Source organism: Homo sapiens, chromosome 20 (assembly GCF_000001405.40).
Source record: "Homo sapiens chromosome 20, GRCh38.p14 Primary Assembly".
NCBI lineage: Eukaryota > Metazoa > Chordata > Mammalia > Primates > Hominidae > Homo > Homo sapiens.
Genome location: NC_000020.11, coordinates 58,413,015 through 58,436,591, shown reverse-complemented (window position 1 = coordinate 58,436,591; position 23,577 = coordinate 58,413,015). Strand labels below are relative to the sequence as shown.

Here is a 23,577-nt window from a genome sequence, read left to right as displayed (position 1 = left end):
ACTTTGGGAGGCTGAGGTGGGCAGATCGCTTGAGTCCAGGAGTTTGAGACCAGCTTGGGCAACATGGAGAAAACCTGTCTCTACAAAAAAATTAGCCAGGCATGGTGGTGCGCTCCTGTGGTCCCAGCTACTTGGGAGGCTGAGGTGGGAGGATCACTTGAGCCCAGGAGGTGGAGGCTGCAGCGAGCTGAGATCACTCCACTGCATTCCAGCCTAGGTGACACAGTAAAATCATGTCTCCAAAAAAAAAAAAAAAAAAAAAAAGGAAGAAAAACACAAAGCTCTCATTTCTCATTAATGATGGTTAGGCCTAGTAGAAAAGAACTATGGGTCACTTTAAATTTTTTTCATTTGTGTATTTCCAAAATTTCCCACAATGTACATTTTATATAAAAAAAATTTAAACTTATATCATCATACAAGGAACTAAAATGACCCTTTACTAGATATGCAGTGACTGGCCTATTACACACTCTGATAAGCAAGTGTCAGACACTGGACCCACCAGGCACTTACACAGGCACACTTCATACTCACCACTGTGTGAGCTGCATTTTTATCCCTATTTTACAAATGATCAAAACCTCAACAGAGTTAATAAAACCTGCTCCCAGCCACAACGTCAGTAAAAGGAAGAACTCAGCTCGAAAACACCCAAGCCCATGCTCTTTTCACTATGCCATGCAGCAGAAGCCAAACAGAACACACCCTTGGATCTTCCATTATTTTCTATCTGCCATGTTTCTTTGATCACACAAATTAACATGAAGTAACACATCATGTTGCAGAAAATCAGAGAAAGTTTTCATAAGAATTGTTCTTATGAAAAGAAGACAGCCTATTATCACTGATCTCTCTAAAAGTCAAAAATATCTGGCCTCCTCCTTCATTTTCTGCCTACAAGTGAAACATCAGCGGAGATGCTTCTCCAGAACTTAAACAAAAGGCTATGTGGTGACATAGGGCATGGGGTGGTCTTGGCCTGAGTTGCCCTTGGTATGAAACTCAGACAGAGGAGAACTGCAGTATGGTGTGATGAACAGCGGACTCAGGTGGGCAGACCTGCCGTGGATGACTCGGGGCTCCCCTTTGGGCGGGCCAAAACTGGAGAGCAATGCAAGTGGTATGAGGCAACCCTGTCCTGCTTTCCTGAACTGTAAGGACAAGCGCATCTGTCCCTGCTGGGGCTGTGGGTTGTATTGTAGATTTCAATTCAACTCCCAGCCCCAGAATGCCAATGGACTTATTCAAATGTATAAAAAGCTCGTTTTGGAGGGAATGTCCATTATACTCTTTTTTTTTTTTCCAAAACCATCACTAACATCACTTATTTCTTTTATAAAAATGAAGTCATCTTAATTTTATCAAAATTAGAGAAAAGTTAAACATAGATTTAAGCAGGGGGGAAAATAAATAAGCATATTTACTAGAACAAAGCCACAAACATGTATGTCTAAATGGGTGAGGACATTCAGCACTGACACTCTCACATGGCTCTTGAGTTTGTGGGGGATGAGAAGACAAGTAAGAAAAAGGCGGGACAATGAAAAGTATCCTTTTCTGTCGGGGCAGAAAGGAGAGGCGAAAGAAGGCAATCCCTAACCATGCAAGACACCATCCACCAGTGCAAGGAGCTGCTGAAGCACACTGAGCTCAGGAAAGTCAGAAAAGAACAGCCTTCTAGAAAGTCACAAAAAATGTTAAAATTATTCCTCAAAGTTTTAGAAAAACCATAAAGGTAGATAAAGTACAAACCTCCTTGAAAAAAAACTATTCCCTTTTAAATAATTTTGACATATTTTGAAATGCATGCACCCACAATTCCATATCTAATTGGTTTTTTAAATTATTGTTACTGAAAAAAATAAGAAGCATTCAGTACTTACTACTGCTTCCATATCTGAAGTGTCAGTTGGAGCAAACATAGACTGAACCATAAACTTGTGTTTACTTTTCTCATTGGGATCATAATCGAAAGGCTGTAACATCACTGAGAAAGAAAATATTTCATTAGGAGGGTCAGAGCTTGGTTGTCAGTGCCATTTATTATGCTAATACTTGTACTTTGGTTGTAAAGCAATTTACCGGCATTCTCTTATGTCTTAGGATGGACGCCCCTGGTGAAGTAAGCAAGGATGACCAACATCTCCATTTTGCAGGTCACCAACCTAAGAGCCACAAAATCACGCATGACAGAGCTGGGAATAAGGCCGAGGACCCAGTCTTCTGATTCCTAGTCCATGGATCTTTCACTACTGCAAGCCTACCGTAAATGTCTGCTACAGGCCTTACAGAATTGGGAAACTGGGTAGCAACACCATCTGCCTGTTTTGCTCAAGAAAACATATCCAAATGATCTCTTCAGGAATTAAATAGAATAATCTAAGATGTTTAAGAACATTTAAGGAACTGTTGTAGCTTCTCTCCAACCCATTTCTCATATAGCTAATCAAGGTAATCCTTGAAATACAATTTTGCCAACATAAAGCTAGAAAATTTTTACAATCAGGACACTCACACAGCAGGGAAAACGGTATCAGCTTATACTCCCCCTTTTTTTTCCCTAAGAACCTAGAGAAATCTCACACAGAGGATCCTGTGGATGAGTCACACCCACTGCATGGAGGGAGGTGCCTTCCTACCCCAAGTGGCTCCCTTCAGCCTACTTCCTAGAGTACAGCTGGGCCTACTCCTATCAAATGATGGCTGCTTTAAAATATGTTACTTTGCTACAAGGCTTTGGCTAACCCACACATCTAGTTAAGTTCCCTGAGACAACTTCACATGCAGGGAAAGCCTACTGTGGCCTTGACCACAACAGTGGGCATGGACTGAGTATCTCCATGTGCCAGAAACTGGGCTCTGTCCCTTAGGTTTACCATCATCTCATTTAATCCTTAAAAAGTAGGTACTATTGTTGGGGGAGAGGGGCTATTCTGGTGTCTACTTTTCACATGAAAAGAATGAACACAGAGAGGTGAATTTGCCCAAGGTTACACCTTGGTGGAGTGCAGACTCAAACCCAGGCAGTTGGTGTGGGGACCTAAGTTCACAGCCACCACAAAGGACTGGTGCCTTGTCCTCTGACAGTACAAGTCTTATGCTTCTCACCAGCAGGGCTTCTACCACCTTTCTGCTGGGCCCTCATCAGCATTCTCTTGCCTTGAAACCCCAACTTAGGACTTCCCAGGTGCTTCCTCTAGAGCCACACAATCAACCACAGCCAGCAGCAGATAGAAAGCAGGATAGCCGTGGTCTACAAATGAAGAATCTGGGATTCCACAAAGTGAAGTGGCTCCCTCAAAGTCACAATGTTAAGAAGTGGCAACACTGGGACAAAGAGCCAAGACTTGACTACAAGTGCAGTCTAGCACCCCTTTCACCACACTAGTCACTCCAATATGAGCTAGATTTATATCTGGCACCCAGGCCCCACGACAAAGCTAATGGAACCATTCACAAAACAGGATAGAAATACCAACCTCCCCCATCCATCTTAGGGATGCAGTAGCACTCTTCACCATGGGAACAGAGAAAGTCCACTGAGACCTAACCATGCATTGGACTTAAATGCACTGGTGTCCCTAGTCACCCAGACAGCTTCACTGCCCACAAGACCCACCTGAAGGCCCTGAGCTACAAGGAAGCCTTGCTGGGAGACTTCTTCAGGACAAAATTCAATAACTGTCAGAGAGTAAACCTTTTATCAACATAACTCTTTCTCTGGCATCACTGAGCTGGCAAGAGCTGACCTTTCCTACAGACAGACCTGGAACATTTACCGACCTGGGCTTGACACTTAACCTCAGGGACAAATGACCAGACTGGCAGGTCAATGCTTTTTCTGAAAGCCAAATTCCCAATGTGTTTTTTTCCTGCCCCTAAGATTGCAATAACGAAAACACACATTTTAAAGTAAAGAGCCAATGTCTTTACATGCTCTGTGAACCTTCCTGGACAGGGACTGTCAACCTTCTTTGGAGCTGGGATTCACTGTTAGATTAATGTTCCCTTTCTAAAATTAAAGTGAATTCAGTTTTAAGAATTTCAGGTCTTCCTTGGCTGTGACAAAATCATGCTCTGGTATTTTTCAGTTTAGGAAAGAAGAGAACTTTGACCTGAACTACTCTTAGATTTTTGGCAGGGCACAGATCTAGTAGTAAACACCGTCTTACCCTTGAGACTCTGTTCTCCCAGCTGTGAACAGCTATTGCACCACTCCCAAGTCTACCACTCTGGAGAGCTCTGAGGAGGAACAAGGTTTATTTGTAAAGATCCCTGATGCTCACATGACAGCAATCCAAGGAAAATGCTAATTTTTAGAGAAGCTATTTAGATGAAATACAAAAACCAATGGGTCCAGAGAACAGAACACACCCCCAAAAAACAGCCCCAGGAAGCTCTGCCTGCCCCTTCCCATTCATCACCTTCCTAGAGGCAGTGGGAGTAAAAAAGTACAGCCAAGAGCACTGTGTCCAGAGCTCTGCCTGGGTTCTAAGAATGCCCCAAGGGAAAACAGGTCCTTCCTTTCCATTTCTCCATCATCCCTCAGCTTCTTCATCCCCAATACTTTCATGATGGCCCAAGAAGGAAAGAAAGGAAAAGAATCTTTACTCATGCCTCCTGTGTAATAGGTACCATAGAAGGCAAATTCTCCTTAGTGCTCCCATTTACTACTCACAACAATCCATCCAAGCAGCACGTCTCCTTTTTCAAGATAAAAAGATAAGGGCTGCCAGGCATGGTGGCTCACAACTGTAACACCAGCACTTTGGGAGGCCAAGGCGGGAGGATCACTTGAGTTCAAGACCAACCTGGGCGACAAAGCAAGACCCCATCTCTACCACAAAAAAATTAGCTGGGCATGGTAGCCTATAGTCCCAGCTACTTGAGAGGCTGAGATTGAGGTGGAAGGACTGCTTAGGCCTGGGAGATGGAGGCTGCAGAGAGCTATGATAGCACCACTGAACTCCAGCCTGGGTGACAGAGCAAGACCCAGTCTCTTAAAAAAAAAGAAAAAACAAAAAAAAAAACAAACAAGATAAGGGCTCAGAAAGGCGCTAAGTGGGCTCACCTGGGTCCCATGGCCAGCGTATTAAACAAGAGTGCCAGGGCTCAAACCTGGCTTTGACTCTAGAGAAAAACAATTTACAGTAGTTACTGTCAATGATAAAATACAGGCTTTTAGGTAAAAATTATAATTGTGGAATACTTTCATCTGCCAACCAGAGCTTCATGGTTCTGCAAATACTTACAGACTTTTCCAATGAGATCATCAGGAAAAGAAATGAATGTGATTTTTTTGTGAGTGTACAATGCAATATGCCAACATTTGGAAGCTCTGCAACACTCAGCAAATGGTTTCCAAACAATCCATGCATGATATCACAAAATCCATTCAAAGTACAACAGAGACTGATGTGTTTTAGTGAAACAATGTTCAAAAAGTCACAGACATGGCTTCAGATTCCACATCATACTAATAACCTTGAAGAAAGTAACACTTGTCAAGTTTTGGTGTAGTATCGAAGAATGTTCAGATTTATCTGAAAAAGCAATTAAACATACTCTCCCCTTTTCCAACTACATATCTGTGGTGACAGCAGTTTTTCTTCATATGCATTCACCAAAAGAACACATCCTAACAGACTAAATGCAGAAGCAGATATGAGCATCCAGCCTGTCTTCTATTGAAACAGACACTAAAGAAATGTGCAGCAGGGCGCAGTGGCTCACGCCTGTAATCCCAGCACTTTGGGAGGCCGAGGCGGGTGGATCACCTGAGGTCAAGAGTTCCAGACCAGCCTCGCCAACATGGTGAAACCCTTTCTTTACTAAAAATACAAAAATTATCTGGGTGTGGTGGTGCATGCCTGTAATCCCAGCTACTCAGGAGGCTGAGGCAGGAGAATCGCTTAAACCTGCGAGGTGGAGATTGCAGTGAGCCAAGACGGCGCCACTGCACTCCAGCCTGGGCGACAAGAGTGAGACTCTGTCTCAAAACAAAAAAAAAAAGAAAAATGAAATTTGCAGGCCAGGCACAGCAGCTCATGGCTGTAATCCCAGAACTTTGGGAGGCCAAGGTGGGTGGATCACCTGAGGCCAGGAGTCTGTGACCAGCCTGGCCAAGAGGCAAAACCTGTCTCTACTGAAAATACAAAAATTAGCCAGGCACGGTGGTGGGCACCTGTAATCCCAGCTATTCGGGAGGCTGAGGCATGAGAATCACTTGAACCTGGGAGGATGGAGTCTCACTCTGTCCCTCATGCTGGAGTGCAGTGGCAAGATTGTGCCACTGCATTACAGCCTGAGCGACAGAGACTCCACCTCAAAAAAAAAAAGAAAAATTGGCAAAAAATGAAAAAATGTCAAGTATCAGTCTCCTAATTTTTTTGAAAAGTTACTTTTCATTAAAAATGTTACTCTGTTAACATGTAATTATGTTATTCTTAAATAATTATATGAATTTTCAGTTTAATTTTTAATATAATAAATATTGATATACCCCACAAACCAAAAGCTTTTTGGGTCTTACTTTTTTTTTTTTTAAGAGATGAGGTCTTGCTATGTTGTCCAGGCTGGCCTACAACTCCTGGGCTCAAGTGATCCTCCTGCCTTGCCTCCTGAGTAGCTAGGACTATAGGTGCCTGTCACTGTGCCCAGCTGCGTCTTCATTTTTAAGAATGTAAAGGGGTCCTGAGACCAAAAAGTTTGAGCACTGTTATGCTACACCAAATGGTCTCACAGGCCCTCCAGGAGGTAAAAATATAGTTAAATAAGTCAATGCGGCCAAGTAATAACACACTGGTGGCTCTGTGTAGTACCCCTCTTGGGAGAATCTGCAGTTTAAAAAGAGAAAGGAGATTTACACAAACCAGGTCTTGAGTTTTCGGGACGTACCTGGCCCTCAGGTGAAAATAGAGGCACATATGCATGCACACACATCCCTTACGGAAGGAATGGGCGTTCCCTATGCTCCTCTAATCAAAGGCCTTTGCAACTGCTTGCTCTACCTCCACAAAAGGGCACTGTCTGAGATATACTGCCCCCTTACTGCAGACCTTACAGATGTCACCAGCACAGCTCCAGGCCTAGAACATCCTACCTACCAAGTCACCACAGTGTAGACATGGAAGGACCATTTCATGGGCAGAGGAGAAGACATAAACAGGCATGCAAGCACACAAGGCAGTGGGTGTAAGCAATCACTTTAACAGAGCACCGGCGACAGCCTGAGGTAGCAGGTCCAACAGCCCTTCTGCAAAAGCGGAGGACTGAGGAGATATATACACAGATGCCTACATGCATTGGTGAATGGAAACTTTTCAATTGGGAATAAAAACTGTGCCCTACCGGCATGTCAACTTTCAGGAAGTTCTGGGTATAAGGTGGGTAGTTATGGGAGGTTTTTGATCTGAGAAAAGTTTTCTGCTTTGGAAAAAAAAAAAAAAGTCTAACAAGCACCATGGCATATGCTTCATTTTTTAAATCTCAGAATCTCATCTTTGAAATCTCTTCGCATTTACACGCCTACAATCTCAGCTCAGGCCCCAAAGACTCACTTCTAGATTTCTACCAGCCTGGAACAGCAAATGGGGGTGTTTTTCATCACCAGCTCTCCTTGGCTTGTGGGCTCCTACATCAGCCAGCCACAGTGAGGACTTGGGACACCCAGATTCTGTGAAACTTCATAAACTTCTGGAGTATCTCAGTATCCACATCCTGCATAACATGGCCCCTAACTCACATCAAAGAGTTTGTATTTCTCAGCTACTATCATCTCATGTCAAATTCAATTTGCTCTATCCTGTTAGTGGGAACTTTATAAAAACATGACAGAATGTTGCTAATCATTAGTTCTTTCAGCTCCATATGTGCAAATTGTGACAGAAATTATGTACTTTTTACCATGGCAGACTATAAAAGAGTTTGCCATTAACTTAAATTTATTTCACTTTCACTTTTTTTCAAGAGATGGGGTCTTGCTATGTTGTCCAGACTGGCCTCCAACTCCTGGGCTCAAGTGATCCTCCCGCCTTAGCCTCCTGAGTAGCTAGGACTATAGGTGCCTGCCACTGTGCCCAGCTGCATCTTCATTTTTAAGAATTTAAAGGGGTCCTGAGACCAAAAAGTTTAAGCACTGTTACGCTACACCAAATGGTATTCACCAGTATCTCTGGTATTCAAGTGAATACTGATGATAAAGCCCTCTTAAATGAACCATCTATCCTACTTTTAAAATGTATCTGCTGATACTACACTAAACAGAAGCCTGTTACCAGAAGACAGCCTGGAAGCCAGGTCACTACTCATCTACATTAATGCTTTGTGATACAATGCCTGTTGTATTACAGATTGCAAACTGGGATCCTGTTAAGAAAGGGCCTTTGGGGTCATAAAACATTGGATCATTAAGATCAGAGTTGCCTGAACAGAGAAGAAACACAGAAGATACGCTACTTAAAACATACACACACACCCCTTGGAGTAATGATGACTTGATTAAATGCAGTTAAATGCTGCTTCTGAGAACCCAAGCAAATCACAGATCACTTTCGCCTGCATCATAATGGTAACAGATCACAGATCACTTTCGCCTGCATCATAATGGTAACAGATCACAGATCACTTTCGCCTGCATCATAATGGTAACAGATCACAGATCACTTTCCCCTGCATCATAATGGTAACAGATCACAGATCACTTTCGCCTGCATCATAATGGTAACAGATCACAGATCACTTTCACCAGCATCATAATGGTAACAGATCACAGATCACTTTCGCCTGCATCATAATGGTAACAGATCACAGATCACTTTCATCTGCATCATAATGGTAACAGATCACAGATCACTTCTGCCTGCATCATAATGGTAACAGATCACTTTCATCTGCAGCATAATGGTAACAGATCACAGATCACTTCTGCCTGCATCATAATGGTAACAGATCACAGATCACTTTCACCTGCATCATAATGGTAACAGATCACAGATCACTTTTGCCTGCATCATAATGGTAACAGATCACAGATCACTTTTGCCTGCATCATAATGCTACGAGATCACAAATCACTTTTGCCTGCATCATAATGGTAACAGATCACGGATCACTTTCACCTGCATCATAATGGTAACAGATCACGAATCACTTTCGTCTGCATCATAATGGTAACAGATCATGGACCTGCATCATAATGGTAACAGATCACGGACCACCTTCACCTGCATCATAATGGTAACAGATCACGGATCACTTTCGCCTGCATCATAATGGTAACAGATCACAGATCACAGATCACTTTCGCCTGCATCATAATGGTAACAGATCACGGATCACTTTCGCCTGCATCATAATTGTAACAGATCACGGATCACTTTCGCCTGCATCATAATGGTAACAGATCACAGATCACTTTCGTCTGCATCATAATGGTAACAGATCATGGACCTGCATCATAATGGTAACAGATCACAGATCACTTTCGCCTGCATCATAACGGTAACAGATCACGGATCACTTTCGTCTGCATCATAATGGTAACAGATCACAGGTCACTTTCGCCTGCATCATAATGGTAAAAGATCACAGATCACTTTCGCCTGCATCATAATGGTAACAGATCACAGATCACTTTCGTCTGCATTATAACGGTAACAGAGCAAATAAAGTCTAACAAGTACTACAGCACATGCTTCACTTTTTTTTAATCTCACAATCTTATCTTCGAAATCTCTCTCTCCACATTTTACGTGCCCACAATCTCAGCTGAGGCCCACAGATCCTTCTAGATTTTTCCAAGTTTCTTCTAGTTTCTTTCCCATCCAAATCACCCTGCCTAGCCCCTACAAACTCCACAAATTTAATCGTACCTTAATACCCTACTTGTATCATGGTAATTCCTCAGATCAAAAACCTCCTATAAGAGTAACTATTTCCTAAGTAAAAGGCAATCAGTTCAGCTTTTCACAATCTGGCCCTTCTTGGATTTCTTGGTCTCTTATTGGCAGGCCTCCCTTCTGCTCCAACAGGTGTGCGCATCACTCAGGCCACACATCATGCCCCTATGTCCTTACACCCAGTGATGCTCTCCTATCATCATCAAAGTCTCCCTTATCATGTCGGCCCTGCCTGACACGTTTCTCTTGATTCTCCCTTACCCTACTCACATGTCAATATACCCCATCTTCCAGGACTGAATCCACTAACAGAACTCTGTAAGGAATAGCCAGGCATGGTGGTGCATGTCTGTAGTCCCAGCTACTTGGGAGGCTGAGGCAAGAAGACTGCTTGAGCCCAGAAATTTGAGGCTACAGTGAGCTATGAGAGCGGCATGCACTCCAGGCTAGACAGCACAGCAAGACCCCAACTCCATAAATAACTAAACAAACAAGGCCAGGTGCAGTGGCTCACACCTGTAATCCCAGCACTTTGGGAGGCCGAGGTAGGCAGATCACTTGAGGCCAGGAGTTTGAGGCCAGCCTGGCCAACATTGTGAAATCCCATCCCTAACTAAAAATACAAAAAATTTAGCTGGGCATGGTGGCACACACCTGTAATCCCAGCTACTGGGGAAGCTGAGGCACAAGAATCATTTGAACCCAGGAGGTGGAGGTTGCAGTGAGCTAAAATGGCACCACTGCACTCCAGCCTGGGTGACAGAGAGAGACTTTGTCAAAAATAAATAAATATATAAATATAATAAAATTTAAATAAGAATTCTGGAGGGAAAAGTTCTCAAACTTCAGTGAGTATCAGAGTCACCACGAATGTTTGCTACAACACAGACTGCTGGACCCCACCTCCGGAATTTTTGTGTTAGCAGGGCTGCAGTGAGAATGAGCACTCCAATTTCTAACAGGTCCCCAAGTGGGCTGCTGCTGCTGCTGGCCCAGGGTACACACCTGGAAAATCTGTGCTGTACTATACCTCCTAACACTGCAGTTCCTGCTGAAACACCATTTCATACCACAGTTCCTACTGTGGGCACCTTACTTTATTGGGAGACTGTCAACTCCAAGACTCCTAAGCTCCTTCTGACATGTTTGCTTTTTCTCCCCAATGAGACTGAGACCAGAACTTAATGTTTTAATAGCTCACATTCTGGGTGCTAATTTGCATTTTTTGCGTTAGCTAACAGGTTTGCACCTTCTTCTCTTCCAACATTCAAAGCGTTCCTGAATCATGCTCTCCCTAGAAATATCCTTGGAGAAGCCCAAAGAGGAAACCCTTCTTTACCCCCACCAGCTGGCTTTTCTTCTGTCCCACTTCCCAGAGTCACTCCCTCCCTTCCAAGAGGGCAAGACAGGGCTTCCAGTTTCTCATGGCAGTGCCCTCAGTCTCGCACTCCCCGTCCTCTCACAAAGCCTGCATAGAGAAAGACTGTCCTCTACCATATGGTGCTTACAGGGTCGGAATGAAGTCACTGATCCACTTTTTTGAGACTAATCAAAGACACAGATACATAAATGCCAAGCAGAGCTCCTGATAAGCTGGAGATAACCAGCATTACCTAAACAAGGTGATATAATTCTAGCCTAAAGCAAAGAAGCTGGACATTTTAGTTAGACTGTGAGCAAATTTATTATATCCTTTAGGGTCCAGAACACGTTGAGATCATGACCACCTTGGTGGACCTCTGCCTATTCAGGGGCCCATGGATGGAACTCTGAGTCTAGCAAATAAATAATGAATTGCATTTATTTATAAATCAGTTAACACTGAAGTGTCTTTGTGTTCTCTACAGGATTTTCCAGTTCGTGTATTCTGTCTTAGAAAACAAACTCCTCACAGTCTGATTAATTTGTTTGTGCTGAGACTAGTACAAATGTGCTGACAGTGAGGTCTCCTTTCTCCAGTATCAATGGAAGATGAGGACTGCTATATACAGGCACTGGCCAAATAACAAGGCTTATTCACTCTTTTTTATAAATATCTTTTAAAATGTAAATCTTTTTCAAAAATCCAACATACTTTTCAATCTCCTCTAACATTTATAATGGAATACAACATACCCCTTTTCTGATTACTCTTATGTTGTGACATGAACCCCCATTATATACCATCTTAATGAAACCTGCAAGCTGTGTCTCTTGGGGCTGATCACCTAAAACATGGAGAACAATTCCCCGAGGCTTAAGGAATTCCAGCTCCCCACTGTTATTTCTGAATGCTCCCTGCACTTGCTCTCGGTGGTGTTCTTGCCCAGCCCGTCCACTGTCTGCTATGCACTGTCACATGGGCCGCTTTCAACGTGGCCACCTCTGTACCCCTTTCCCTTTATTCTCATCTGTGATGAGCTGGCAACCAGGACAGGGTTAACAGTAAGTCTAAGGTAAGAATAAACAAGACAAGATTCAAGACTGGAGAGCCCTCAAGTGTGTAAGTATGCAAGGACCCATAATGAGTGAAAAGAAAATCACTTTTGGCTTCTTAAAACTTTGCTTATTTTTTGCTTCTCAGTTATGCTGTACAGAGTTGAAGTTACCTTCAGCTAACTGAGGTAGACAAAATGTGTAAGTCCTCTTGATCTTGATATTTAAAAATGTAAAGAATAAACTGTGTCATAGTCACAAAAAAAGTAACAATTCTTCCTTAAAAACCTAAGTATTACAGTAAACTTGTAAAAACCCTTAAAAGCGTAATTAAGCTGAATTTTTGTTGGTAATTTTCTTTTTTCTACTTTTTGTTTAAGCAGAATCTCTCATCTGCTGAAAAAGATTAAAGACATCTTTTAAAGTATGAATGTGAGTTGTTCTTATCTGAGAGTAATAAGCCTGGTTCATGGAAACCACTTATAAAAAAGTTTCGCTTATCAGAGACTTCCAAAGCAAACAATCAAACAAAGAAGAATGTTGCTGTTAAGAAGCTCAAACTCCCCAAATGCAGCTCCCACTATCAGTGCTTGATGGATAAATGTTTGGCTTCTTTGTCTAAGGGCTCTGTGCGTTTATACCCTAGTGCACCTGAAAGGTGCACTCCTGGTTGACTGCTCCAGGGCCACCAAACAGCTACATTAAACTGAGTCAGGGAAATCTTAAAAGGATTATTAATCACAATACTATCCATTTAAATTAACTGATCAATGTTTTCATCCAAGAAGAGCTGCTGATGTTCATGCTCTGAGGATTTTTCTTTTCTTTTTTTTTTTTTTTTTTTTTTTTTTTTTTTTTTTGTGAGATGGAGTTTCTCTCTTGTTGCCCAGGCTGGAGTGCAATGGCGCGATCTTGGCTCACTGCAACCTCCGCCTCCCAGGCTCAAGTGATTCTCCTGCCTCAGCCTTCATGAGTAGCTGGGATTACAGGCATGTGCCAGCATGCCCGGCTAATTTTGTATGTTTAGTAGAGACGGGGTTTCTCCATGTTGGTCAGGATGGTCTCGAATTCCCAACCTCAGGTGATCCGCCTGCCTCGGCCTCCCAAAGTGCTGGGATTACAGGCATAAGCCACTGCACCTGGCTGTCCTGAGGATTTTACTGGAAAAACTTTATGCTTTAAATGTGATTGAAAAGAGTGCTGAAAAGGGCTGTATGTCAGGAATGAATACTGCTCCTTAATCCTTTGAATTCTAATTTAAAATACAGATTCAGACACTGGGAGTTTTGTGTTTGTCTTTAATCCATTTTCAATTCCCAAGGTACACTTAGTAAAGTGTATCTGTAACTAAATATCGGTATCTTTAATGACTCTTTCCAATGCCCCCCTCCACACACAGATATTTTGCATTTCTAATTTGCTTGGGACACAGGCAACCAATGTGCATAACTGAACTGCAAATGGACGCATGCTTGCTACTTTAGTGAAATTAGAATTCAGTGAAGGTTATAAAAATATTAAACTTAATATCATATTACAGGAAGCATAAGTATTTTTGATGGGCCCATAATTTTACCACTTCACCTGCTGTATCCGCTGGCAAACATGGTTTGGAATATTAATGGAAAACTCCCTCATTATTAACTGAAGCACTAAAAAAAAAAAAAAATCCACAACCACTAACAGCTTACCACAAAGACATTTTCAGAAATTATGTACCTTAAAAATATTTTCCCACCGTACAGTTCAGAAAATAGATTTAATTTTGTAAAGCTAGAACAAATGGGAAGATCCCCACTGCCTCAAAACAATTCGTTAATTCAAAAAGTTCTTTATTCCTTACATTTGAAATCTCAGGAGGAAAAAATTCCAACCTCCCTTTCTTCAATCTCTATTTAAGTGTACCTATTTTGCTGAGGTCCAGATTAAATAATTCAAAACCATCTCTAGTTGATAGTATGTATCATGGAGCAACGGGCCAAAACCACAGTATTCTGGGCCAGTGAATGCAAACAGAAAGCCCCCTGCACCCCCTATCTACCATGTGACCTCATCCAAAAAGCACAAACCTCAGAAGGGGCTACAATAAAAATGAGATGAGACGAGCACCCATGTAAAGGACAAAGAAAAGGATTCAAATCACAGGTCCAAGGGGCCAGGGCCTAAAGCAACTCTTTGGGAAAGCCCACATATTATAATCCACTGACACAAAAAGTTTAGGTTATGCCTGTGTCCAACTGTTACTTTACCACCTAAGTTTATAAAAGGGAGTTTTTTTAAGGACCCAATAAGTGATCTGCCGTGTTCTGAAGAAAATAGCATGATAGGTCAGAGCCTGAACTTTTGAAGCACAATGTAAGGTCCCTTGAATATCAGGGTAATGTGAAAAGGTAAAAAGAGCTTCACAGGGTTTCTCTGAAAGACATCTGGCTTTCCATGTCACAATCTGAACCTGTGTGCCTTCAAAACCTTGATCCCTCTGGCCAGCACAGGTGCCAGCTCCATGGGCAGACATCATTACCATCAACCCTCCCTCTCTTCCCACCTTCCTGCTTCCCTCCTCTCTTTCTTTCCTTCCCCCTCCCTCCCTCCTCTCTTTAAAATAATGATTTACAGCCTTCCCGAATAGCTAGTGCATTCCAAGGGTTTTCAGAAATGGGAAAAATGCACTGGTCATGTCCTTCTCAGGTATGTAGTGACACTTTGGGTGGTGGGCAGGGCAATGCTAGCAGTATTTTAAGCTGATGTGGTGGCCACCTTTTTAAAGATTATACCTGAAAATGTACTGGCAACTTTTCACTATAAAACAAATGAATATTACACAAGGAAGAGAAAACACAAATTTCTTCTCAAAATTAGCAAAGGTCCATAAATAAATAAAATATAGGGGTAATTTATTTCTAAACAGTCAATTCAAGTATTATGCAATCCACCTTCTTCAAAAACTAGCCGGTTTTTGTCAAAGCTAGTGGAAGAACAACGAACGTACAAATGTACCACTCTTGTACCATGCTGTTGATTCTGCAGTATTTGTATATATTCTGTAAGGTAGACACTATTCTCCCTACCTTACAAGTGAGAAAACAAGAACCTAGAAAGGTTAATAGGTTGGTCAAAATTCAGCTGACTGGTTAAACAGCACAACTGGTCTTCCTGTTCAGGTTTCCCGACCTCAAATCCACTAATCTTTGAAGAGAGTGGGTAAAACCAAGCTTGGCCATGTGCATATCTGGGGAGAAGGGGAGGCTGGCTTTTGGATAATCTGCACTGCCTGTCGACTGGTATCCTCCTCCTCCTGAGGACTCTAGTGACTCACCAAGATGTCATCATGTAGCTGTATTAATACCAAGAGGACTCCTGGAAAAAGGCAGTGCTTTTTATCCCAAGCTATGCATGTCTAATAAATGATGCAGTGGTCCCTCAGCACATACAACTGCAGCAAATGGGGCTGGCCTCCTTTGCTGACTTGCAAGGCTGTCCTAGAAATGCAATGACATCTGGTTTCACCTTGGTTCCCCCCAAGCACTGAGCTAAATACCAAATAATAACAAAGGAGCTCTTTCTAAGGTGCAGATATGATCTTGTCTCATCTAGGAAGAAAGTCTACAGACACATGGACATTTTATTATTCAACTACTTTTTCCCCCAAATACATTAAACTTTGAGAATGATGGTACTTTTTACATTCATTCATAAGTGGGGTCATCCTCTAACACTACTGAGGCAGTTTAGTATGACAGAAAGAGCACTGGATCAGGAGCCAAGCCACTAGCTTCAAATAGCAGTGCTGCCATGACCATCCAAGTGACCCTTGATGACTGTGCCACACTCTGTGCCTTACTTTATCTGCCAAAGGAAGGCCACAACCACAAAGTCTTGGTCTTCCTTGAGTAAGCAATCATAAATCAGAACAAAGGCAGAGTTCGCTTTTACTTTTTAAAAATTCCTATGATGGGGAAACAATGGATCTTCCTGAAAGAGAGACGGAGATGCCTGGCGCGGTGGCTCACGCCTGTAATCCCAGCACTTTGGGAGGCCGAGGCAGGCGGATCACTTGAGGTCAGGAGTTTGAGACCAGCCTAGCCAACATGGTGAAACCCTGTCTCTACTAAAAATACAAAAATTACCAGGTGTGGTGGCACGCACCTGTAATCCTAGCTACTCGGGAGGCTGAGGCAAGAGAATTGCTTGAATCTGGGAGGTGGAGGTTGCAGTGAGCAGAGATCGCGCCACTGCACTCCAGCCTGGGCGACAAAGTGAGACTGTCTCAAAAAAAAAAGAGAGAGATAGAGACATACACATACACCCACCCATACATATTTATATTTTATATCAGAAAACACACTAACATTGTACAACCACCTACTGAGATTCTTTTATTCAGAAAACCATGCTGCATTCCCTATTCTTCCTATAAAAATTGGTAATTTTCATCTACTGACAAACTTGCTCAAATTTGATACAGGCATGGAAATCGAGGGGGGGAAAGTAGATAGAAGAGGGGAACAAAAGATTTCAGCTGCCCTTGATGTCAACAGAAAAATTTAAACCATACATATCCAGAGGATACAGAAATGCCAAAATCCCAGTTCCTTCCTTTCTCCAGAGTGCTGCAGTTCAAAGAGCATGGGCTTCAGAGCCAGTCAGAATGATCCACATCTTGGCTCTGTTATTTGCTAGTTTCACGATGCTATGACCACCAGTCTACTTCTTAGTAAAATGGAGGTGACAATGCATCCCTTACAGGGCAGGTAAGAGAAATGACATGAGATAGTACATGTGCAGGTCCAGCACATAGAAGCCCCTCAATCAATGCTGGCTTCGACCCTCCTGACTTCAAGATAATAACTTGATTCGAAGATCAGGTCTTGCAGACTCAAGAGAAGCACAGGGGGAGAGCTGGCATGGGTGCACCATAATGAGAGAGACGAGATGCAGGGAATAAGAGTTTGCAGAAACGATCAGATAATGAAACACCTTATATCTTTCCAAAGAGGTGAATCATTTTCTTTTAGGTGTCAAATGAATAGCCAAGTGTATCACAATCAAAATCTATCATGGAAAAAGCCAGAGAGATACTCATTTCAAATGAGCAGTAGCTTCTATTGATGCAGAAGCCTCTGTGACACTGAGTCACTTGATATTTACAAGATAAATACACACTCCCCCACAGCTCCTTCTTGGATGGAGAAGTTCTAATGAGCTAAAAGTTTATTCCATTTCTAAAATACATTTAAACTCCAACCCATCACTGACATCTCCTTAATTCTGAAATCCAATTCTCAATTTGGGCACTTTACCAGTATTTTTCAAAAGGTGGATTTTGGAAAATACATGCACTCCCAGACAGAAGAGAAAACCATCAGACATGCACCAAACTGACACCCTTGAGTATATTCCAATTTGCTCAGCCCTCATCTCTCTTGGCGTTTCACAATCAGTAAAGTGCAGTGGCCAATCACTGGAAATGGTATGAGCTTAATGTCAGAAATCATTTAGCTTAAATAAGAAAATAACTCCATTTAGCTTTCTCCCACAAAGTAAAATTAAGTTTGTTTAGCCCTTTTTTATTTATTGCCAAAGGGCAGATTTAATTTCAAGGGAGTGAAAACAAAACTCATTCTGAAGTAAAGTCTAAAGTTATCACTTCAGTTTTGCTCTAACTATTGAGGTGCAAAGGGGCTGTAAGCTTTGAAACAAGGAGGCATTAATTATGAAAAAAACAGGCGACTGGGACCCAGCTTTCTGATCACGGGGTGGAGGGTTGTGGGGTGGGGTGGGGTGGGGTGGGGGTGGGGTGGAGAGAATTCTATCATCTTCTTCTGCTACACTGCAAATACAAACTTTAAGAAAACCTACTGTCCAGGGGCCTTCTGAGCCCACCCTCTAGGCCTCCAGTCTCAGGACTTACCAGATACATTAATTGAGGCCCCTGCATCGATGATTCCGCTGTTGGGCCTCACACAGTACCTACGTGGTGCTGTAGTCTTCACCTTAAAACACACATTTCGGTCTGTCGGGTTGCCAAGCTTTAGGTTGGTGGTGACAACATCGGTGAAGGGACCTGTAGAATGAGACAGAGACTGATTGGGGGTCTCATGAGGAAAGTTTAGAAGGTTTGTGGAAAAGAGAGCTGTAAATATAGTTAAGGGAAGATTTGAGATCCACGATTATCTCATTAACATGCCAATGGATGAAAGAGATGAGCTGAGGTTAATGCACTAGCAGTAACGTCTAATATTTACCATGTTCCCACTATTTCACCAGGTACCTAGTGTAAGTGTTCTAACATATGGCATCTCATTGAAACCTCACAACTTTATGATTATTGCTGTTTTGCAGATGAGAAAACTGAGGCTTGGGGAGACAAGTTACTTGTCCAAGTTTTCATGATAGTGGTAGTGAGGATCTGTAACCAGATGGCTTGCATCTAAGGCCAGTTCTTACCCATGCTAAATACTGATTTCCACAGTAACAATATGAAATCTAACAGGGAGAGCGTAAAGGACTAAACTCATTCCAAAATGATTATCTAGAGCAGTGTGCCAAGAGGAGCAGATGGAAGAAAGACTTTGAGGTGTTAATGGTCTATAAACACAGTAACTCTCAACATTATAGTGTTGCTACAGAAAACTTAGTATCACCTTAGGCTGTAGCAAGAAGTTCAGAGTCCTGCTGGGCAGTCCACACCTGAAGCATTACAGACGGTACTAATTACTCACGCTACTGGGAAGACTGCAACAGGCTCAGTGGCCTGAAGATACTTTTTATTACTATTATTTATTCACTTCCTACTTTATTAGATTTTTTAATTAAAAAAGTAAAACATGCTTCTTAAACCAAACAATAAAAGATGTATAAACAGGAATAAGCTTTCCTTTGTCCCCTGAGATAACTAATATTAACAATATGGGAGATCTTTCCACATCATCTATGTTTACACAAACAATACATACACACATGTGCAAGGGATAGGGGCTAACAAATAATGAAATAATACTATTCCTATTAACCTGAAACTTGCTTTTTTTCATTTACCCATCTATGGTGGACATGTGATCTCTGTGTTTATTAGTCAGGTGGCTACAAAAACTTAGGTCTTTTTCAACACCTTTTCAAATTTACATATTTTTCACCTGTAAATCAGTATTTCTGTGTTTCCTCTAGGCAAGTCCTTTACTCTTGTCTTTGCATTTGCAAGGAAACAGGAAGTGAAGGTGGGGAAAGGGTGTGCGCTTATGTGTTCACAAACAAATACGTAATGTTGACTCAACAAAATCATTCAAATGTGTGTTTTGAAAAACTTTTCAATGAGACTCTAAGCTCCTGAGACAAGGATTATACCTTATCCATCTCTGTAGCCCCAGCACTGTGGCTGGCATAGAATAAAGATCTCAATCTACATATTCACCAAGAAGAAAACTACCTGTGTGTGGATTATCTCCAGCAAAATTAAGATCCTCAGGCTGGTGTCTCTACTCTTGAGGTGCTCCGGGCATGGAAAAAAAAAAAATCAATCTGATATGGGCTTACCTTAATACAAATTAAGAAATCAAAATGGTGATAAGGAAGGAAGGAAATGGGACTCAATCCCAAAATCAAACGACAGCTAGTTCTGCTATGAGACTTATTTTGAAAACATAAATTTGATCCAACGTTACTCATGTGCATATTAGAGGGACATTCTGGACATAAAACAATTTTCGTATTTGTTTCTGTGTGATTTTGTCTGCTATCAACACTGGTGAACACAGAAAACTGCTCCTCGCTGAACCCAACTGCAAAGAAATACAGAAAACTCACAAGCACACACACCTCAACCACCTACGGGATACCTCAGTTCACCCTCTCCCCCTTATGAAGTTGTGGTGTGAGGATCCCAAATTTAAGTATTTGTTTATTCCTTACACTGACCTCTTCTTCAAGGTACTCTACAAAAATAAGCCAAATTTAAATGTAAACACTTAACTGTTTTTGAAAATTTCCCCAGGTTAATCTATTACATCACAGTTAATTGCTATTACACAGCAATCTTAATGGTGCTTCAACTTATATAAACCACATAAAAGGAAGTCTAAACTATTAAAAGACAAGCAATATTTGTAATAATAAACAGGATAAAATAAACATCCCAGATTTCTCCCTCCACAATCCTGGGTCTTTACATGCTTGGGATTTCTTGGCCTTTCACAGGCTTTTATTTGTAAAAATCTGGAGGGAACTATACTGAAAATATATGCAATGAAACAACATCACTGGTAAAATAACAAAGTCCCGTGGGTAAAAATCAAGATATTTGTAAGAACAGGCCAACCTTCCTCTCCCTACTCTGGGCAATTTGCTCCAAGAATTTTATTGAAAATAAATTATATTCTATTTGAGTAATTATAGAAAATAAACCATGTTAGTGTTCTCCTTTTCCCCTGTATTAATGGATTAGCATACACAAAACCTTCAATAAAAATGATGTAAAAGCTTATGAGCATCATTCAGACTTTTACTAGTCACTTTCATTTCATAAAACTGCCATTTCCATTAAAGCATTATGTAAAAAATGGGATTTTACTATACCAACATGCATATTTACCACCAATGAATTTAAACACTGCTTATAAAGTACAGTCAATTTTACAAATGAAATCTCCTTCTAAACTTAGAATTTTTCCTTTTTAGAGATAAAAAAAAATGATGTGTCTCTAGAACCACAGCATACACTTCAAATCATTTTTAATCTTCTATTCCTTATTTCAGATAATGTCTGTAACAAAACCAGGAACTAAGCATCTAAAATGTGAAATGGGAGGTTAAAAAAGTGAAAAAACATGAATTTGGGAGAAACTGGCAATACTCTTTGAAACTGTTACTCTTTTTAATAATGTAAACAATGCCCTTTATGTCCTAGATTATGCATATACTCATCTGTGAACATTTGTGTGAGTTTGCTGAAGATGCTTATGAAACAGCACTAATGAACTGAAAATGAATTCCTTGACATGCTGTAAAAGGTATTTAGATAAAGCTAAACACAGTATAATTTATTTCCTCTACCTTCCCCCAGGACCCACTGTGCTTGGATTTTTGTCATTTTAAATTGTGTTTAAGGCAATAAGAGGTAAGAGTAAGACAGTAAGAGGGGCTAGAATTGATCTGTTTTACAAGGCAAATACAGAGTGCCTGCGATTGCAGGCTCGCGCCGCCACGCCTGACTGGTTTTGGTGGAGACGGGGTTTCGCTGTGTTGGCCAGGCCGGTCTCCAGCCCCTAACCGCAAGTGATCCGCCGGCCTCGGCCTCCCGACGTGCCGGGATTGCAGGCGGAGTCTCGTTCACTCAGTGCTCGGTGGTGCCCAGGCTGGAGTGCAGTGGCGTGATCTCGGCTCGCTACAACCTCCACCTCCCAGCCGCCTGCCTTGGCCTCCCAGAGTGCTGAGATTGCAGCCTCTGCCCGGCCGCCACCCCGTCTGGGAAGTGGGGAGCGTCTCTGCCTGGCCACCCATCGTCTGGGATGTGGGGAGCCCCTCTGCCTGGCTGCCCAGTCTGGGAGGTGAGGAGCGTCTCCGACCGGCCGCCATCCCATCTAGGAGGTGAGGAGCGCCTCTTTCCGGCCGCCATCACATCTAGGAAGTGAGGAGCGTCTCTGCCCGGCCGCCCATCGTCTGAGATGTGGGGAGCGCCTCTGCCCCGCCGCCCCGTCTGGGATGTGAGGAGCGCCTCTGCCCGGCCACGACCCCGTCTGGGAGGTGAGGAGCATCTCTGCCCCACCGCCCCGTCTGAGAGGTGAGGAGACCCTCTGCCCGGCAACCGCCCCGTCTGAGGAGTGGGGAGACCCTCCGCCCGGCGGCTGCCCCGTCTGAGGGGTGGGGAGCCTCTCCGCCCGGCGGCCACCCCGTCTGGGAGGTGGGGGGCGTCTCCGCCCGGCGGCCGCCCCGTCCGGGAGGGAGGTGGGGGGGGTCAGCCCCCCGCCAGGCCAGCAGCCCCATCCGGGAGGGAGGTGGGGGGGTCAGCCCCACGCCCCGCCAGCCGCCCCGTCCAGGAGGGAGGTTGGGGGGTCAGCCCCCCGCCCGGCCAGCCGCCCCGTCAGGGAGGGAGGTGGGGGGTCAGCCCCCCGCCCGGCCAGCCGCCCCGTCCGGGAGGGAGGTCGGGGCGTCAGCCTCCCGCCCGGCCAGCCGCCCCGTCCGGGAGGTGAGGGGCGCCTCTGCCTGGCCGCCCCTACTGGGAAGTGAGGAGCCCCTCTGCCAGGCCAGCCGCCCTATCTGGGAGGGAGGTGGCGGGGTCAGCCCCCCGCCCGGCCAGCTGCCCCGTCCGGGAGGGAGGTGGGGAGGTCAGCCCCCCACCCGGCCAGCCGCCCCATCCGGGAGGTGAGGGGCGCCTCTGCCCGGCCGCCCCTACTGGGAAGTGAGGAGCCCCTCTGCCAGGCCAGCCGCCCTATCTGGGAGGGAGGTGGCGGGGTCAGCCCCCCGCCCGGCCAGCTGCCCCGTCCGGGAGGGAGGTGGGGAGGTCAGCCCCCCGCCCGGCCAGCGGCCCCACCCGGGAGGTGACGGGCGCCTCTGCCCGGCCGCCCCTACTGGGAAGTGAGGAGCCCCTCTGCCTGGCCACCACCCCGTCTGGGAGGTGTGCCCAACAGCTCATTGAGAACGGGCCAGGATGACAATGGCGGCTTTGTGGAATAGAAAGGCGGGAAAGGTGGGGAAAAGATTGAGAAATCGGATGGTTGCCATGTCTGTGTAGAAAGAAGTAGACATGGGAGACTTTTCATTTTGTTCTGTACTAAGAAAACTTCTGCCTTGGGATCCTGTTGATCGGTGACCTTACCCCCAACCCTGTGCTCTCTGAAACATGTGCTGTGTCCACTCAGGGTTAAATGGATTAAGGGCGGTGCAAGATGTGCTTTGTTAAACAGATGCTTGAAGGCAGCATGCTCGTTAAGAGTCATCACCAGTCCCTAATCTCAAGTACCCAGGGACACAAACACTGCGGAAGGCCGCAGGGTCCTCTGCCTAGGAAAACCAGAGACCTTTGTTCACTTGTTTATCTGCTGACCTTCCCTCCACTATTGTCCTATGACCCTGCCAAATCCCCCTCTGTGAGAAACACCCAAGAATTATCAATAAAAAATAAATTAAAAAAAAAAAAAAAAGAAGGCAAATACAATACCAGCAAAAACTTGCATACCATTAAAAGTGAAAGAAGAAATAGTTGCTTTTTACTCTTAATTACAAAAATTGGGCCTTAAGATGTATAAAGTTCTGGTTTGAAGGTCAA

At 43.6% G+C, this 23,577-nt stretch overlaps 1 protein-coding gene across 4 annotated transcripts in view, besides 3 other annotated features; it reads right to left on the bottom strand.

Moving 5' to 3' along the window:
* Positions 1-23,577, bottom strand: part of VAPB (VAMP associated protein B and C) — a 61,873-nt gene that overhangs the window by 14,510 nt on the left and 23,786 nt on the right. For 2 of the 4 annotated variants that reach the window (XR_001754433.3, NM_004738.5), the window contains exons 2-3: positions 18,229-18,381; positions 1,887-1,990 (exon numbers count right to left, since the gene is read on the bottom strand). Coding sequence is in view for 2 of the 4 variants with exons in the window: in NM_004738.5 (NP_004729.1) it covers positions 1,887-1,990; positions 18,229-18,381 (257 nt within the window). In the remaining 2 variants the exon portion in view is untranslated. The remainder of the gene's footprint in view (positions 1-1,886; positions 1,991-18,228; positions 18,382-23,577) is intronic. The other 2 variants (NR_036633.2, NM_001195677.2) reach the window with 1 other exon arrangement.
* Positions 8,373-9,067: an enhancer, noted in NCBI's record as "OCT4-NANOG hESC enhancer chr20:57002581-57003275 (GRCh37/hg19 assembly coordinates)". NCBI's record gives its function as "activates a minimal SCP1, AML or CMV promoter by ChIP-STARR-seq in naive H9 embryonic stem cells {active_cell/tissue: H9 hESC(naive)}" and the evidence as "EXISTENCE:reporter gene assay evidence [ECO:0000049][PMID:30033119]".
* Positions 21,914-22,703: an enhancer, noted in NCBI's record as "H3K27ac-H3K4me1 hESC enhancer chr20:56988945-56989734 (GRCh37/hg19 assembly coordinates)". NCBI's record gives its function as "activates a minimal SCP1, AML or CMV promoter by ChIP-STARR-seq in primed H9 embryonic stem cells {active_cell/tissue: H9 hESC(primed)}" and the evidence as "EXISTENCE:reporter gene assay evidence [ECO:0000049][PMID:30033119]".
* Positions 22,704-23,495: an enhancer, noted in NCBI's record as "NANOG-H3K27ac-H3K4me1 hESC enhancer chr20:56988153-56988944 (GRCh37/hg19 assembly coordinates)". NCBI's record gives its function as "activates a minimal SCP1, AML or CMV promoter by ChIP-STARR-seq in primed H9 embryonic stem cells {active_cell/tissue: H9 hESC(primed)}" and the evidence as "EXISTENCE:reporter gene assay evidence [ECO:0000049][PMID:30033119]".